This window comes from Homo sapiens, chromosome 11, assembly GCF_000001405.40.
Source record: "Homo sapiens chromosome 11, GRCh38.p14 Primary Assembly".
NCBI lineage: Eukaryota > Metazoa > Chordata > Mammalia > Primates > Hominidae > Homo > Homo sapiens.
Genome location: NC_000011.10, coordinates 130,390,986 through 130,403,708, shown reverse-complemented (window position 1 = coordinate 130,403,708; position 12,723 = coordinate 130,390,986). Strand labels below are relative to the sequence as shown.

General features: G+C 49.6%; 1 long non-coding RNA gene across 1 annotated transcript in view; it reads right to left on the bottom strand.

Annotated features, from left to right (window-relative positions):
- Positions 52–12,723, bottom strand: part of ZBTB44-DT (ZBTB44 divergent transcript) — an 88,665-nt gene continuing 75,993 nt past the window's right edge. Inside the window, exons 3-7 of the long non-coding RNA NR_148980.1 lie at positions 10,113–10,214; positions 9,910–9,990; positions 6,119–6,196; positions 2,622–2,699; positions 52–408 (exon numbers count right to left, since the gene is read on the bottom strand). This is a non-coding gene — a long non-coding RNA (ZBTB44 divergent transcript). The remainder of the gene's footprint in view (positions 409–2,621; positions 2,700–6,118; positions 6,197–9,909; positions 9,991–10,112; positions 10,215–12,723) is intronic.

Sequence of the window (12,723 nt, the reverse complement as noted above, 5' to 3'; positions counted from 1 at the left end):
GAGTGGGAGGCTGGGCTTACCTAAGCATAAACAGGCACACACACAGGCATGTTGTTGATGACTAGCAAAACCAGATTGTTTCCCTGCTGTGCACCAGTTTTGTGGAGGCTGATGTATGCTTCCGCAACTCTTCATCGCCTTCCATTTCTCGCTCTCCCCCAAATAAGGCCAAGCGTGTCCCCCTTAACGGCCTAAGCCAGGCCAGCTGTGCCATCCCTGCTGCCTGCATCATTACCAGGCACAGCTTTTGCCCTGGAGTTCAGCTGGCAGCAGAGCTGCTGATGTGCAAAGCAGAATGGAATCCAGCTTGGCTCTCCCGGTTGTGTGGGCTCGGCGAGGCTCTCAGAACGCATACTTGTTTGTGTCTGGAAATTCAACAGCTGCAGCCCAGGGACTCAGAAACCAGATCTGCAGAGGAAGACCACACCATTATCTGCCCCAGCCAACCACGACCACTCTGTGCACCCAGAGAAGGAGAGAAGACTGTATTTCCTCTGCTGAAAGATTGTGTTTTCCAGCTAGTGCTCCTAATGGAAACTGGTACTCTCTTCTAATGGGAGGCCCTGACTTGGCAGGTAATTTGGTCATTAATCTGAATCCTCCAGGCACCTGCCAGAAATACTTCGAAGGTGGTACAGTAGCATAAAGTTAATTTCCAACCTTTCATTTTTAAGATAAGTGAATCTTTATCTGGGGTTTATCCTCTGCCCTTTATTCCTCTATCACAGATCAGAGGGTTTTGTGAATTTACAAAAGTATGCAATATTACTATTCCCAGTCCACTCTAGCAGACCACCCCTCTCCCAGGAACATATTCCAGGGGTGGTAGGACCCATCTCACTAGATCCGCATCTGTTCTCTGATGACATCCACCTGCTTCTACATCCTTTGTGCTTGAACTTTTTAACCAAGTCACCCTCTTAGTGAGGACTCTTCCTCTTTTCTGGTGTCCAAACATGTCACCCTTCCTGTTTTCCTCTGGAGTGTGCTCCGGAGTTGTTTCAAACCACCCCTCCCTCCCCACACCCCCCAAAAAACAAAACTACAAATGACAAGAACAATTGGAAAGTTCTTAAGGGATACTGGCTTTTGCTTTGTCTTGATATTTTCCACTTGTGGTCCAGGGCAGATAAAGAGGGAGGCCTTGTCAGCCCTGCGCTATGGCGTCTGCAGCGTTGAGCAGCTGCGTGTACTGGGCTTTCCTGCGTGGTGCAGACTACCCTGCCCAGGTGCCCCTGGTCCCAGGAGGGGAGGCTCGTGAACCCCGCAGCAATCTCGACTCCGTGTGCTCTGCCCCAGATCACCAGGTCCCTCCAGGAACCTGCAGCATTTCCTTTGCTGTTTGGGAATTCAAAATGGTTTCTCGAAAAATGTGAACAGGAAGGCAGAATTTATCAAAGAGGACTAGATGTAGCACGACCCTTGGATTCCCAGATTTCTGCTGCCACAGACTCATCACTTCTTTTTGCCCCTATGATGAGTTGAAGCTACATTTCGGAACACATGGCCCCAAAAAACAGGAGACGGGGTGAACATCATGAGGACGGTGATGACGTCTTCTATAAGCCTAGGTTACTGGCCCTGAGACGTGTCCTCTGCCCTCCTCCACTCCCACTCTGCCCTGTGTGATGTGGGAGGGAATTCCTCAGGTGAAGACAGGCTCGTCCCTGCCCAGAATTTCCCATCCGTAGCTGCACCGCGGTTAGACACTCAGCTTCCCCAAGCCCCGCATGTGCACCGTCAGTAAGTACCGGGACAGGAAGCAGAGGAAGGGAAGGATGCAGCCGCATTCAGTCCCAGAGAACAGCAGGCCCGGGTTACTCCTCTTTGGTGGCCGGGGCTGAAGGACAGTCTGTCTTATGGGGAAAACTCTCCTCCCCACGTTTTTCTGGGGGCCTCCGCTGAGCTCGCATTGGGAGAGCTGCATGTGGAATGTGGGAAAGAAGAAGTCACCCATCTAAGCCAGCGTCTTCATTGGCTCAATGTTGGTGATCACTAATGCGACAAATACTGTGGTTGTATTGACCGTACATATGACAACATTCTAAACAACACAGGAGAACACAACGAGCAACAGTAAAAACTGGAGGGTCCCGCGAACGGAGTGGGTGGGCTGTGACTCCCACACTTTCCCTGCCCCTGGCCAGCCCCTCCTAAGCACCTGTGTGCTTTCCAGGTCAACACTGCAGAATGACCTGGCCAGACGTAACCAATAGGTGTGGTCCTAAACAGCTGGTACCACACTTCCCTGGCTCGTTCTTCTTCAGGTGGGGAGTTTTTCTGACCTTCCACTTTGGAAAGAGCAGGACTTGCTTAAAACTGAGTGCCGGCCAGCCCACACCCCCTGAAATAGATCAAGGGACTCATCACAGCCACTGCTCAAGTACTGGGAAGAGACATGACACCAGTGCACAAGTGCATTCTGAACCGTAATGACAAGCAGAGAGCAAGAAAGCCACCTGTCTCTTTAGAACATACTTTCCCTCAGGCCTGGGGCTCAGTAGAAAGAGACAGGAAGGTTCCGGCTGGCCTTCCAGCCCCCAGAGCTGCCCAGCCCAGCCCTGGCAGATGCGAATCGCCCCAGGAAAGGAGAGAGGAAAGAAGCCTTCCCCAGACCTCACCGTTCCTCATTCCAAACATCTTGTAAGTCCCAGGGGCACTGAGAGAGTTTGTCCGCAGCCAAACACAACTTCCTGTTTCTAAGAAAGGGAAGAAAAAAAATAGTTGAAAGGGTTTTTGGACACTGGAAATTTCAAGTTTCTGTAAACGCGAATGAATCAGACACATGTGGAATGAATTTCTCCGGAAGTAAGAAAAGATGCTGTGAGTTCCTCTTGCTGGACCAGAAAATAGGAAAAGGGTAGCTGCGGGGGAGGTGCGTCAGAGGCTGCAAGGAGAGAAGCCATGTGGACATGGGATGGAAGAGAGGGTCCCATCAGTGACAAGGTTCAACGAGGCTGCCCTGAAGCCACGTTCTGAAGCTGCTCATTACTCAGAACTGCTCCACCTCTGAAGTCCTACATCAAATCTCCTCCTCCTCAACCACAATCTCCCATCTTCCCAGATCTTTCCCATAAATGCATCCTTCCCCATGCCCTGACCGCCTCCGCACGTGTCCTTCCCCCATCCATCTTTCCTGCTCCTCTGTCTTCAGCTTTCCCTGAGCTGCTTGGACTCCACGTTCAGCGCCTCCACCTCAATCTTGCCAGTGTTCTCACTGCCCTTGCCCCACAGACTCTCTGTGCTGCTCAGCAGGCAGAGCCTCACACGGCACCCATTCCCCTCTCCCCACCTCTCACCTCTCACGTCATCCTGCTACAAGCAGATCCACACCCCGGGGGAATCCCAGCCCTGAGCACACTGGTGCCACCATAAAGTTACAGCGTTTGATGGAAACTGTCCAGCAACCCGAGCAGACCCCCTCTCAGCAATACCGATGGTTGTCCACAGAACTATTCTGCGCTTCCCATGCTCCTCCAGCTCATCCCCATGCCACGCTTCGCTGTGAGTGAACAAACTCACCTCCACTGCTAAGTGGAGCCCAGTACCGTATCTCTTATCATGGAAGGGAGAGGGGACACCAGCTCACCATTAACGGGCCACGTATAGACACGAATCTAGAGGAACATTATAACTCTCTCTTATTTTGGATTCAACAGGCATGTTTCAATCTCTGTCAAGTCCATAGGAGAGTGAAGACTCAGAAGATAACTCCTCCCCCTGATTAAATTAATCCTCCAGCTCTCTGAAGGGCACAGTACATCATGAGATTTAAACACCTAGGTCTAAAACAAAAAAAAACAAAGAAAAAGAAAAATACGCCGGGCACAGTGACTCATGCCGGGAATTCCAGCATCTGGGGAGGCTGAGGCAGGCAAATCACTTGAGGCCGAGAGTTTGAGACCAGCCTGGACAACATGGTAAGACCTCGTTTCTATAAAACATATAAAAAACTTAGCCAGGGCTGTTCCAGCTACCCAGGAGGCTGAGGTGGGAGGATCACCTGAGCCCAGGGAGGTCGAGGCTGCAGTGAGCTGTGATCCTACCACTGCACTTCAGCCTGGGTGACAGAGCCAGACCCCTTCTCAAAAGTAAATAAATAAATACACACCCAGGCTCCCTCATGGCCCAGCTTCTCTACCTCATCCTCCTTGTTGGCCCCTCAGTTTCCACCACTGTTTGGAGTCCTGGGTGTGGCCCTGACATGGTCTGTCAGTCCCTCGGTTCTTTCTAGTTTCACTGTTAGATGGAGATGGTTCTTCAGATCCCAAAGGTGGGTGAGGGGAAGGGGGAAAATCTCTCACAGGGACAGGACCAAGGACAGCATACCTAAGAGAGTAGGCTTTGCACAGTACTAACTGTGGCCTCCTGCTAGCCTATCCCTGGTGCATTAGGATGTGAAAAAATGTCTCCCTCTTCTCCATCTGGAGTTACATTACCGAAAGCCTAGCCTACAAATGTGTCAGATCTCAGGAAGCAGGACAGGGTGAGGAAAAAAAAAAAAAACACAAGAAAATGAAATCGTAATTTTAAAAACCCTGTTCGTTTCTTACCACGAATCCTGAAATCTTGCTGGTAGCTACGGATGCGCCTCAATTTACACAGAGTTACATCCCCAATAAACCCATGGTAATATCGTAAGACTAAAATGCGTTTAATATCCCAATAAATCCATTGTAAAGTCAAAAATGTGTAAGTTGAATCGTCCTAAGCCCAGACGCTCCTCCACTTACAATCGGGTTACATTGGGATAAACCCATCGAACAGTCAAACAATTGATTGTAAGCTGAACCATCATAAATTGAAAACCATTGTATATCCATCCTTTTTAAAATCTATCCTTTCTCCTTCTGTTTCTGTTACATGAGAGGTATTTTCCCACTGTCAAAACTAATCCCTTCTCAATACTGCAGCCCTCCACCCTCTCAAGGCGCTCAGCCCCTCCACCATCCCCTCCCTTCCCAAAGACCCAGCCCCTCCCTCTCTGCTGACAGCTCCCCATCGGTGTTCGCAGGTGCTGTGTCTTTTCACTCCCGCATTTCACAGCTATGTCTCTCCACTCTCCCCTCGCTCCCTGAATTCCTGCTGCTCTTCCAAAGCACACAACTTCTCTCTCCAAACATCACATATACTCTTCCCTCTTCCGGAAATGTTCCTTTTCCTCTTTCTTCTCTCCCCACTTTAACATAGTCCTACTTATTCTTCAGGTCACAGATTAAAGGTCACACCCTCAATGAAACCCTCAGGTTAGGTTAAGCACCCTCATGTTGCTGTGCACTTAGCTTTTTTTTTGACAGAGTCTGGTTTTGTTGCCCAGGCTGGAGTGCAGCGGCACGATCTCAGCTCACTGCAACCTCCGCCTCCTGGGTTCAAGTGATCCTCCTGCCTCAGCCTCCTGAGTAGCTGGTATTACAGGCTCCCGCCACCATACCTGACTAATTTTTGTATTTTTAGTACAGATAAGGTTTCACCATGTTGGCCAGGCTGGTCTCAAACTCCTGACCTCAAGTGATCCTCCCGCCTCACGGCCTCCCAAAGTGCTGGGATTATAGGCATGGGCCACCATGCCCTGCCTGCACTTCACTTTTCAAACACTCAGCACCCTTCCTTCTGTCTTTGCTGCTGGACCATACACTGTGAGTCCCAGGCCACATCTCATCTTCATTTGCATCACTCGTGTCTAGCTGACAGCCTGCCATAAAGCAGGCAGAGAAAAAAAATGATCACGTTCCCTTTCCCCTTTGAAAAATATGTTCCACTTCCCCATATTTCTCTCTGCTACCTCTGTGCACCTTCCACAGTCATACTTGAGAGAACTGCTCCCTTCCTCACGCCCTAACAAGCCAGCTCCCCACACCACTGCCCACGGGACTGTGTTGCCAAGGTCATCGATGACCTTGTGCTAAGTCCAACAGACCTGCCTCAGTCCTGTGCCTGCATCCTGGCCTCCTCTGCATGCCCTCTCCCTCTTGTTATCCCTAAGTTGTTGAGTTCCTCTGGGTTCTGTTCACTCTTCCTGGCTGATCCCATCCACCCCTATGGTTTCCATTTTTTCCTATCTGCTGATTACTCCCAAATTTAAATCCAGAGGCTGTGTGTCTGCGGCCCCCATGCCTACCTCATGTTTGAAGGTTCTCTGGAAGGGCTCCTGGGACTCAGCACACAGCTGTGCTCATGGCGAGGCTTTATCCTTTTGCTGTGGTGAGGACACACGCTGGATCATAAGGGGTCAAGGCACAGGCAGAGTCTAGAGGAACCCATGCCAGGCTTCCTTATGCTCTTTCCGACCACCAGGGTCCCACAGAGCCCACTGTCCCTCCGTAAAAATGCAGCAACACACGTGTGACATTTCTGCCTGGGGAAGCCCAGTACCGACTTAGTGCCCAAAGGTCTTAACTGGGGTCTGGTCACATGGGCACCCTCTGCCTAGCAAAATCCTAGACTCTCAGATGGAAAGTAGGTGTTTGGCATAAATTGTGTTGTCTGCACAGACAGTCTAGCCATGGGGAACCACCTTATCAGTTAACTGTTAACTAGGGATGCTCTGAGAGCCAAGTTCCCAGATGCCAGCCAAGGGCCAACCTTGCAGGCAGGTGTTTCTATGAACAGCAGTGTCAGGCCCGCTGTGATAACTCCTTTCTGCACAGGCTGGGTATGTTTCCAACTTCCCACCTGACTCAATTTGCTCAAAGTCAAACTCACTCTCTTCCTCCCAGCTGTTACACCTATACCCTATCTTTTTTTTTTTTTTTTTTTTTTTTTAAGAGACAGAGTCTTGCTCTGTCACCTAGGCTGGAGTGTGGTGGTGCAATCATAGTTCACTGCAACTCCTAGGCTCCAGTGATGCTCCTGCCTCAGCCTTCCAATGTGCTAGGATTTCAGGCATGAGCCACTGTGCCTGGCCAGGACCTATCTTCTGTTTCCCCTTCTTCTCCACCCCTCCTATCCACTGGCCCTCAAATGCAAACTCCTCCTCCGTCTCCATTGCTGCTGCCTTCAGGGGGCTCTCCATCCCCTCACCCAGCATGGCTTCAACAGCCCTGTCCCATTTCACTTCACATCCCTCTAATCCCATCCTCACATTACTCAGTGATCTTTTAAACATGAAAATTGGGGCTGGGCACGGTGGCTCATGCCTGTAATCCCAGCACTTTGGGAGGCTGAGGCAGGCAGATTACCTGAGGTCAAGAGTTCGAGACCAGACTGGCCAACATGGTGAATCCCCATCTCTACTAAAAATACAAAAATTAGCCAGGCGTGGTGGCACACGCCTGTAATCCCAGCTACTTGGGAGGCTGAGGCAGGAGAATTGCTTGAGCCAGGGAGGCAGAGGTTGCAGTGAGCCGAGATCATGCCACTGCACTCCAGCCTGGCTGACAGAGTGAGACTCTGCCTCAAAAAAAAAAAAAGAAAAGAAAAGAAAATTGGATCATTTCACTTCTCCATTGAAAACCCTTTGAAACCCTTTAATGGCTTCCAAATGCACAAAGAATTTTTTTAAAAAATCCACACCTCCTAACAAGCCCTCCAAGCTCCTCTGTGGACTGCCACCTACTAGCTCCCAGTCTTATTTTATGTCACTCTATCCCCCTGGTGACACTTTCTTTTGTCACTTGCTCACCAAGCCCTTTCTCACTTAGCGGATTCCCACATGCCAGTCCCAAGCCTGGGATGCTCTCTCTCGTGCTCCCCCATGGCTTTCCCAACTCATCCTTAGGGTCTCAGGTTGACAATCACAGCCTAAGAAAGTCCTTCCTATCTCCTCCAATCTAAGTGAGGTCCCTGTAACTCTCATAATTAACAATTCTATGTATCTCACATTGACTGTTCTTTTGTTTGTTTGTTTTGAGACAGTTTCGTTCTTGTTGCCCAGGCTAGAGTGCAATGATGAGCCTTAGCTCACTGCAACCTCTGCCTCCCGGGTTCAAGAGATTCTCCTGCCTCAGCCTCCCGAGTAGCTGGGATTACAGGCACGTGCCAGCACCCCTGGCTAATTTTTGTATGTTTAGTAGAAACAGGGTTTCGCCATGTTGGCCAGGCTGGTGTCAAACTCCTGACCTCAGGTGATCCGCCCGCCTTGTCTTCCCAGAGTGTTGGGATTAATACTGTTCATTTAATGCTTCCCTCCACCCGACTAGACTGCAAGCTCCATGAGGGGAAGGACTCTTTGTTCACTGATGGATATTTGGAGCCAACCTAGTGCTGGCCATGTGGTAATGCACTGTTTCAGTTAGCTTGGGCTGCTGTAACAAAATGCCACTGACTGCATGGCCTATACAACAGAAATGTATTTTCACAGTTCTGGAGGCTGGAAGTTTGAGCTCAGGGAGTCTGTATGGCTGAGTTCTGGTGAGCACTCTCTTCCTGGACTGCAGATGGCTGCCTTCTCACTGTGTGCTCATACAGCCTTTCCTCCATGCACGTGTGTGGAGAAGAGATAGGGAGCTCTCTGCAGTTTCTTCTTATAAGAGCACTAATCCCATCCCAAGCGCCCCACCCTCAGGATCTCATTAAACCTAATTGTCTCCCAAAGGCCCCAGCTGCAAATACTGTCACTTTGGAAGTCAGGGCTTCAACATATGAATTTTGGGGAGACACAAGTCAGTCCATAGCTAACGATCTCAGTGTTCCGAGAAAAAATGAGTGAATTGCTGACAGAGAAGTATTTCTAAAATGTAGTCTAATCTTGTCACTTCTTTCCTGAAAGTTTTTCAATAATTCCCACTGCCTATAGAAGAAGTCCTAAAGTCCTCAGCTCAGCATCTGGGCCTGTGATAACCCAGTCCTGGGTTACCATGGGGATACTCAGCAGTGCCCCTGGAAAGTATGGCTTTCTCTTTCAGGAGCGTGCCCAGAGTTCATGCCTGTTCAATAGCCCCTGCCTCCCAGGGGGCTGCTCAGCTGTCTGCAGCATTGGTGCCGCTGAACCTCGTCCACAGCTCCCTCGAAGCATGCTCTCTGCAGCCCGAGTAGTACATCCAAGCATCAGAGTGAACAGATGCAGAAAACTGCCAGAAACATGTGCTCCCAGAGCTGAGAAGCTGCTGCAAAGAAGCCTCATCCTGACAGAGGCAGAGCCACACACACACGGAATTGGGCCTGAGTCTCTGGAGAGAAGAGGCTGTTCTGAGATGAGCCCAGAACCTATCCCTCAGCACTGGGCATCACCACTTATGAAGCCCCTTGCCCACCCTTGAGAATGTCCCCCATCTGCTGGGCAGAGCACCACAAGACTGGTGTGAACTGGCACAGCCTTGGCCTATCTCTGTGAGTGTCCTTCCCAAGTTCTGGGAGTGATTAATGGGTCAGCACGGCCCATAGTGGACGCTCCGTAAATGCGCATTCCTTTCCTCGCTCCCTGTTGCCCAGCTTGTAAGCCTACGCCTTGACCTCCACATCAAGCATGTGCTTTTAGGTCAGAGGCTTCCAGTCCTGGCCCTCCTCTCCAACACACTTTCTCCTGCTCCGTGGACAACTGGCATTGCCCTGATTAGGTTACGCACTATCCCAGTGGCTCACTGTGGATGTATTGGTCCTTAATTCCCAATAGCCTCGCCCTATCTGGTGATGAAAATAAAATCTGGAGGCAAATTTGCTAGAACTTCAGCCTCCCACCATATTGCAAATTGAGAGCTGACTTTGACGTCATATATATGCTAAAGGATCAGCACGTGTTAGAAAAGGAACAGGCGGAGCGTTAGATGGCCTGGTTTTGAGTTTTGTCTTCGCCATTCACCAATTAGGTGACCTTGGGCAAGCCATTCAGTCAGTTCCTCTGAGCCTCAGTTTCTTCATCTAGAAGATGTCCTACCAGCCTCAAAAAATGTATGCAAAAATCAAATGAAAGAATGCTGTGTGACGGTGGTTTGCAAATTACAACACACTACATGAATGTAGGAAATTCAATACCTTATATCCTTAGGAGACTGGGGGCATCACTTGCTGGAATAGTATTTTGCTTACCACCAGATCCCCGGGTTGGAAGAGGGTCTAGGCAGAGAAAGATAAAGAAACGCATAAAATTACCTAATTTAGTGAACACCAAAATTGGTAGCATAAATTCTGTGCATGCTGGCAAGTTGGAGGGAATTAAGGGGAACAAAAAAGCAGACCTGGATGTGTTTGGCTCAGTGGTGTGGAACTTCAAATCCCGTGCCAGGCTTGGCAGAGATGTGCAGTGTAGACCACACTCCTCTCTCCTCTGAGTCCTAAGCCTTTGGGAAATAAACACAAGATGTGAGGATCAAAATGTCAGCTTTATTTTTTATAATAGCAAAAGATTGGGAACAACCTGATGCCCATCTGTACGGGACTAGTTAGATAAATTACGGAAATTCTTTCAACAAAATACTATGCAGCCATGGCTGGGCACGGTGGCTCATGCCTGTAATCCCAGCACTTTGGGAGGCCAAGGTGGGTGGATCATGTGAGGTCAGGAGTTCAAGACCAGCCAGGCCAACACGGTGAAACCCCATCTCTACTAAAGATACAAAAAATTAGCCAGGCGTGGTGGTGTGTACCTGTAATCCCAGCTACTAAGGAGGCTGAGGCAGGAGAATCTCTTGATTTTCCTGAATCTGGAGGCGGAGGTTGCAGTGAGCCAAGATCGTGCCATTACACTCCAACCTGGGCAACAAGAGCGAAACTCCATCTCAAGAAAAGAAAAAAAAATACTATGCAGCCATTTTAAAAAGTGAAAAACAGCAAGGTGTTGAACCATATCTATGGTATGCTACCAATTGTGGAAGAAATATGTGAGTGTAAGCACATATTTGTCTGAATGTGTATAAAACACGCCCAGAAGAGGAGATGCTTAAACACAGGTGCCTCTGCTGAGGAGAACTAAGAAGCTAGGGGAAAACAAAGGGGAGAACATTCACTCTCTGCCTTTTTGCACCTTTTGAATTTTGAACTGTGTAACCATAAGACTGCATGATCGTGTGCACGGATGTGCCTGTGCATGTGTGTGTGAATCCGCTTTACTGGACTCGATAAACATCTTGGACTTAAAGCCAGTGGGCTCCCTGCTTCCTAATACTCAGCTATCCACCGGAAGTTCAGACTGTGTGATCTGCTCGTGGGGAAGTTAAATCCAGACAGCAAGATGAAGTACCAGAGTAACAGAAGGCGTGCTGTCAGCCCCTGCAACAGAGAACCAAGGGGCCGTGACAGCAGCATCCTTCTCCCTCTCCTGACACTGGAAGGGAGAAACTGGCAGTTTCTCCAACTGGACCTCCTCGCCCTGCTGCGGCAGTGTGAAGAGAGGGAGGATGAGGACCCTTCAGAACAGTACAGGAAATGTTAGCATCAAGTGGGCGAAGAAAAGATGGGGCAGGTGTGGAACAGTGCAGCTGGGGAGGGGGATGCCGAGAAGGAAACTGACAAGAGGCTGCGAGGCAGGGCTGATGGATGATGAGAAGGAAGAGAGGTGTCAGGGCCTCGAGGATCATACACCTTCACGGGGGCCAGGAAATGAGAGGGTGCTGCTGGGTGCAACCCAAATATTGTGTTCGTTAGTGAGACTGGAGAGCGAAAGGATGCAACCTTTGATCTTGCACAGTGAGTGAGGATGCGGATATGATGGGGCCGCGACAGACTTTCACCAGGGCGTAATTCAGCCCGATTCTAAGGAGGTCCCTCCCTCTCCTGATCCCTCACTGTCCTCTGCCCATTCCCAGCCCCCACATTTAGCAAAACCACTCCGCTTGGCGTTCCAATGTTCTGTTTTACATTTGGCTTTGTTCAGCAGCAGCCTCTGTTTAGCCAGTTTCTGCTTGGGAGCCAAAGCGCCAAGAAACTACACAAGAAGAGCAGAGCCTGGACAGGATCAGAAAATGCCAGAGATTTTGCCACCAAGCCTGCTCCGCCGAGACTGCCAGGAGAGCTTTGCAAATGGAATCAATCTGAACGTAGCTGATGAGAAACATCTGAATGGAGGAAGCCAGGACAAACAGAAATCACTAAGTTTCCCACTGCAGTGGGCTGGAGTGGCTTCCCCAAGACTTCTAGTTGTGCGCATTTACCTTTCTATCATGAAGAAGACTCATGCTACTTCTTGGAAACCTATACAGTTCACAATGACAGACCCTGACCTCACGAACTCCGCTTTCTCTCCAGTCCCCAAGCCCTTCCGCCCCCCAGTCTGCAGGTGATTCTTTGGCTTTGTTGCTGTGTTTGATACATTTTGATAGCAGACGGGTCAGAGGTAGATTTTGGTCACATTGTATGGTGTCTCCTTTTCTCCAGAATTTGAGAACATCAGGAAGCCTCACCCACTGCCCAGATATGTCCTTACAACCCCCAATTAAAAGCCCAAGATACCTCCCAAATGTAGTTAAGGAATTTGGGGTGTGCTCCTGCAGTTTCCTCAGGGACACATACCCAAAGCCAAGCAAGTGGTGGCCTTATTCATTGTGACATGTCTCAGATGATGTTATAATAATGGAGCGTGCTTGGCCGACTAGAGCTCATAAGGAAAAGAGTTCAATCCAAAACCGGGACAGTGGTTACCTAGCACATTTCGAGGGAGAGAACACTCCAATTCCGACTAATACATGCTCTTGGATCCTAGACCACTTTGTCTTCAGAGTGGAAAATCGGAATACTCTCACGAGATACTAACTTTAGGCCAGGTGCAGTGAGTGGCTCATGCACTTTGGGAGGCTGAGGTGGGAGGATAGCTTTAGCCCAGGAATTCGAGACCAGCCTGGGCAACATAGTAAA